The sequence below is a fragment of the Homo sapiens genome, chromosome 2 (assembly GCF_000001405.40).
Source record: "Homo sapiens chromosome 2, GRCh38.p14 Primary Assembly".
In the NCBI taxonomy this organism is placed as follows: domain Eukaryota; kingdom Metazoa; phylum Chordata; class Mammalia; order Primates; family Hominidae; genus Homo; species Homo sapiens.
Genome location: NC_000002.12, coordinates 34,404,481 through 34,410,577, shown reverse-complemented (window position 1 = coordinate 34,410,577; position 6,097 = coordinate 34,404,481). Strand labels below are relative to the sequence as shown.

Genomic DNA, 6,097 nt, shown 5'->3' with positions numbered 1-6,097 from the left:
GCCCAAGCAGGTCTTCAACTCCTGGGCTCAAGCTATTCTCTCTCCTCTGCTTCCCTAAGTCCTGGGATTACAGGCATGAACCACCATGCCCAGCCCAAAATATTTTTAATTTTAGATCTACATTCTATCATCCTGCTACATGTTAAATTACTACTTAAGTAAACAAAGATTTAATTTTTTTTACAGTTAATGAGCCGAATATGTTATATCATTTTTATTTATGCATTATATTTAATGTTTGCCATTGTATATTTTTCTATTTTCTTTGACTTTTACTAATGACTGATTTGAGAAAAGCTTTTCTCTCTTTCCTTTCTACATGGAGAGACAAGCCAAAGTGACATTTCCAAATGGGTGTCTGAAAACATGTACGCTGTTTCATTAATGAATGCAACAGAAGTTGCCTAGGGTTTATTCCAAGATGCATAATGTCAAACCTCCAAATTATCTAATTGTTCCAAAGAAGAACAATTAATTTGTATTTATAGGCTTGAAAGACTTTGTTGAAATAAAAATGTTTTAGTCTGTAACCTCTTGCTCTTTATTCATAGTTATTTTCTAATGCAATATATAGGATTTACAACTTTTCTATTTATCTTTAAAAGTTAATAGGATTTACTGTGATTTTTATCCTTTTATTCAGTTATCTTTCTCAGAATATGTAGACACATTTTATCACAATGTACCAAAATCAGATTTGAATAATATTATTTCTACAAACTTACAATATGTTAGTGATTATAAAAAGAAAAGGCTTTAAGATGCAGGTATATTCCTTCTATCAATCTCTGTTTATTGACAACTTGAATAGGCAAGAAATATATTTCTATGGTGAGCCACAACCACCAACAATTACCCCTTTCTGAGGGGCATCAAGATGCATTAAAGGCCATACAAAGTAACAAGACAACAGAGGACACTTGTCCTATTATAGAATTTTTTCCTATGTTAATTTAATTATCTTAATGTGTTTATTGCAACATATTACTTCCGGCCCATGATCAATAAAGTTTTGAATTACTTATACTGTTTAGATTTTTTTTAAACCCCAAACATTTTCATATTTTTTCTATGTTGTTTTTGTGGATTCCATGTCTGGCTAGTACCAAAGAGTTGATACATTTAGAGGATTACAACCTCTAAATAATCTCTAAAGCTAAATAACCCAGCTTTATTTATATAGTGCTCATACAAATGAGTTAATTCACCTATACTTTCATTTGATTAAGAAAAATATACAGGATCTAGGACACAGAAAACAGATACTATAATGAAATTCTACTCCAACTTTAACAGTGGCCTTACCTAGACTTGACCAAGAGTAGCCCTTTAAATTAGATTTTACCAATAGCATTATTAAGAGCAAGCTTTAAAAACTATAAATTAACTCTGTGTAAGCCAGAGATTTATGCAAGGCTATTAGGAGACTCAGAGAGAGAGAGAGAAATTTACTCATCAGGAAATTCCAAAAAGGAACCTCCAACACGTTCGTCAAACTATTATTGTCCTTAATATATAATTAGCTTTAGGAATTAGAGCAGATGTGCAAAAGCAAGAACAAGCTTGAGCTAAGAAGACAGGAATCTCAAGACTCAACTTGATGTTGGCTCTCAGAGGTGAAGAATATATGAATAAAATCACTGAATGTGAAGTGAAACAGCTGAATCTTGGCTCAACTTAGAATTAAGAAAGAAATACATAGTTTTTATGCTATCTGTCAATTCTAGGAAATCTATGCTAATCAGAATTTATATTATTATGCAATGGGGTCAAACATGCAGTAATGCAATTTGACTAAATAAAAGCAGAATGGTTCAATTTTATTTTGGGTTCCAGTTTGTCATCTCCAGTTTGACTCTGCAATAGTCATCTAATGGTTTGTCGGACTCCACTTTGCCCCTCCTCATGGGGCTACTTGTTCATGAAGCCACCTTTGTTCTTCTGCCAGTAATATTTTCCTAAAACAGATCACTCTCCCCTGCTACTTGTTATAGACTGAGCATACACGGAGGGGGTAGTCTGGACTGGGACTAAACTTTCAGACAATTGCCTAGGACAGGCTAAGAATCCCCTCAGAAACCTATGATTTGGAAGCAAACTCTCACCTCAGTTCAGGAGGGACTTTCCTTAGATTATAGTACGGAATATGACTCAAAAAAGCAATGAGAAATTACACTCATTCAAATTTGTACTAATGGGCACTCCCACCATTGTCATTCACCATCCTTTGCTCAAAGGACAATTTGCAATCGTTTGCCTCCCAGTAGTTATCATGAATACTTATACATTGTAACTAACAATGTTTTTCTTTGTGGTAGATGACTCATTCCTCCCACCCACGTGTCTGTCACTGTACTTACGCCTCAGGATTTGTTAATTTCTAGACCCCCATCTTCCTGTATCTTTGGCCATCACCAATCCCTTTTACATATTTTTGCTATTTCTCTTTTCTTCAGAGATGCTGTAAAATTTTAGGCTCAGAGTTTACTTTTCTCCATTCTCCTTTATCTTTCCCATGAGCTTCACTGCAGAACCACTGCCTTTCTGATTTATTCTCTATTCTATTATGATCTATTTCTTCTTTTTACCTTAATATTTTTAAAAATACTTAAAATTTTTGGACACGACATAGGAAATTCGTGTAGATGCTGTAAGAGTACACCACAGTAGGCTCATGACTTCTTGAATTTTAAGAGAAATTATAATCAGGGAGGCATAACTGTAGTTTCAAGTTCTGTGCCTTTTACTTTCATTCATAAAGAACAATGAATGAGGGAGATGAAGAGCAACAGAAATAGAGGGAACGCGTGGACTGAGTCCTGTCTGAAGAAATGCAGAATTTCTAGAGGATAACATGGGAAGAAAGAAATAAACCTGGAATCTTAGCTCAGGACAGATCTGGAGGCCTGGATTAAGTAAAGGCTTTGGGGCTTATACTTTTGGAGGTGAGAAGGCAACAATGACTTGTCAGCATATAAATTGTTAAGATTTTAATTATTTGTTCCTGATCTTAAAGTCCTTATTTCTGTTTTTCAACAAAGATGTGCAATTCCTCCATGTAGGTTTTTGTGTACGTGTTTTCAGTAAGTGGATTGCCATGTCTAGGGAAGGACTTTGAAGAGGGTGTTCAATCTATTTCTAACTCCCTGCTCTTTTCAAGAACAAGTAGTCTATAAATGAATAGGGTCATAGTAAAACATTGTTTGTATCCTGACTTAAACAAATCACCATAAAATGCTTTTTAAAGCAATCTTGCAAATGTATTTGTGGACTGTATATTACATAATATTAAAGAATTAAAAATATTTTTTATGAGTCTCACTCTGTCACCGAAGCTGAAGCGCAGTGGTGCTATCTCGCTAACTGAAGCTTCTGCCTCCCCAGCTCCAGGAAATTTTAATACTATGATATACGATAGTGGCAAGATGGTTATTTTAAAATGTCTGTATCAGTTGGAGATCATAATTAAGTATTTATTGGTGAAACACATGATGCACTTTTCAAAGACAAGCTTTAAAATTCTCTAGCTCCTCCAAAGCTAAAATAGAGAAATATATGAAATTGTAAGAAAAGATTATAAGGGAATTATTCGTTGTTGAATATGATTGCTAGGGGTATATTTTCTCAACTTTCATGTGTTTTAAAATTTGTAAATACAAAGTGAAAATAAAAAATCATCCAAAGTAGTCAAGGAACTAAACGTACAACAAAAATAAATGTTGGGAGCCACATGAACAACCAGAAAAATTAAAAATTAAACTTTGGGTTTTGTTTGTTTGTTTGTTTGGTGTTTGAGACGCAGTCTCTCTCTGTCACCAGGCTGGAGCGCAGTGGCGCGATCTCGGTTCACTACAACCTCCGCCTCTCAGATTCAAGAGATTCTCCTGCCTCAACCTCCCAAGTAGCTGGGACTACAGGCGTGTGCCACCACGCTGGGCTCTTTTTTGTATTTTTAGTAGAGATGGGGTTTTGCCATGTTGGCCAGGATGGTCTCTGTCTCTTGACCTCATGATCCACCCGTGTTGGCCTGCCAAAGTGCTGGGATTACAGGCGTGGGCCACCATGCCTGGCCTAAACTATTGTTAAATATAGATGGATGTTCCAAACCCACCTAGAATGAAAAAAATTAAGACCCTAAAAAGCATCATAATAATTATGCTATGTAGAGGCAATTACTGAGCCCCCAGAAATAGAGTAGCTCTCCCCACACACGCTTTCAAAGTTCCATCAAATTTAATAAGAACCTTGATGTGTTCATTTGCATAGAACATTGCATGTTAGACCAGAAAAGAACAACAACAACAAAAAATCACTCTAGTTTCACCTATGTTCCATTGAGTATGATTTTGACTACCAGTACAGATTGTCAAGTCCTCAAATTTTAAAATGAATAGATTAACGATATACTCTAATTCCAAATTGTACAACAAACTGATATTTCTTTTGGAAACCATGCCCTTCTTTGCAAAAATAATAACCACTAATAATAACCAACAGGTTATACTTGAACAGTTCCCTCTAAGGAGTTCCGAGTAATTACAGACTTTCTTTTAGCCTCATACATTTCCAAACCATGCTCATCTTAGAAATTATATCATTCCTCTACTATCAAGCATTCCTATTATTCTACAAATCAATTGAGTTTTAAAATGCTGTCTTAACACTAGGAATGCTATGACATATAATTTAGTTCCAAATAGAGGCTAATACCTATGCCAGATACGTCTAGTGTCTAATGTAGAACTGTTGAAAGCAGGCAACTACTACCTGCAGGCTTAATCTGACCCACCATCTTTGTAGATAAAGTTTTACTGCAACATAGACACATGCATTTGCTTACAATTTGTCTTCTTTTTTTTTTTTTGAGACAGAGTCTCGCTCCGTCACCCAGGCTGGAGTGCAGTGGCGCGATCTCGGCTCACTGCAAGCTCCGCCTCCCGGGTTCACGCCATTCTCCTGTCTCAGCCTCCCGAGTAGCTGGGACTACAGGCGCCCGCCACTGCGCCCGGCTAATTTTTTATATTTTTAGTAGAGACGAGGTTTCACCGTATTAGCCATGATGGTCCCGGTCTCCTGACCTTGTGAGCCGCCCGCCTTGGCCTCTCAAAGTGCTGGGATTACAGGCGTGAGCCACTGTGCCTGACCTTGTCATTTGTTTTAACACTGCAATAACAGAGCTGAGTAATTAAGAGAAACCAAACAGTGGCCACATGCCTAGTATATACTGCTTAGCTCTTTACAGAAAAAGTCTGCCAAACTCTGGTTTAAAGCACGACTCTCACCAAATTGCCAATGGCATAGACAATTCCCAAAATAACTATGCTAATACATAGATACAGAGAAATTCAAGTTGATTTGCCTAAATATGAGAATAATAATTATATCGACATACAATATAGCTTGCATGTTTTATTTTTTAAAATCTTTAAAATGAGTCACAATATCTTGCAACACGTTAACAGAAGCCTTCAAAGCTAGTCTTACAGAGGACTTATTTAGTCAATGAATCAATTAACACTGAGGCCGAAGTCAGTCAGCAGTGTTTGTGTGGTAAAGAAAGAAATGACAGACTTCTTGCTGTATAAGTAATTGGAGCTACCCAGGAAAGAAATTGATGCATTAAATATCATTATACATTTACATGTAAAACATACATGCATTAATTGTACTGATGGTATACCTCCTACTCTAAGAAATAAATTGAGAATTATTGTTGGCAGAAAACGAGGTATCAAAAGTTGTACAATGTGCTGTCTTGAACTTTTGGCAAATTATTTAACTACTAAATTAAAGGTTATCATTAGGTTAGTGCAGAAGAATTGTGCAATTTAAAAGTAATGGCAAAAACCACAATTACTTTTGCACACCAACTTATTACTGCAATTACTAGTAAACTCTATGTGAAAAACATACTCTACATATTAACACTTTAGTGCTTTTAGTGAAGAAAAACTGGTAGATATTCAACTTAATTTCTTTTCCAACATAAGAGAAGTAGATTTCCCAGGTGGCCAGTTGCCCAGGTATCTACCCTCATTTTTAAAATATGTTTTAAAAATTAGGGGTTTTTTTTGCAAACAAAATAGTTTGTTAATAG

The 6,097-nt window shown here is 35.7% G+C and overlaps 1 annotated feature.

Moving 5' to 3' along the window:
- Positions 2,035-2,537: an enhancer, noted in NCBI's record as "NANOG hESC enhancer chr2:34633108-34633610 (GRCh37/hg19 assembly coordinates)". NCBI's record gives its function as "activates a minimal SCP1, AML or CMV promoter by ChIP-STARR-seq in primed H9 embryonic stem cells {active_cell/tissue: H9 hESC(primed)}" and the evidence as "EXISTENCE:reporter gene assay evidence [ECO:0000049][PMID:30033119]".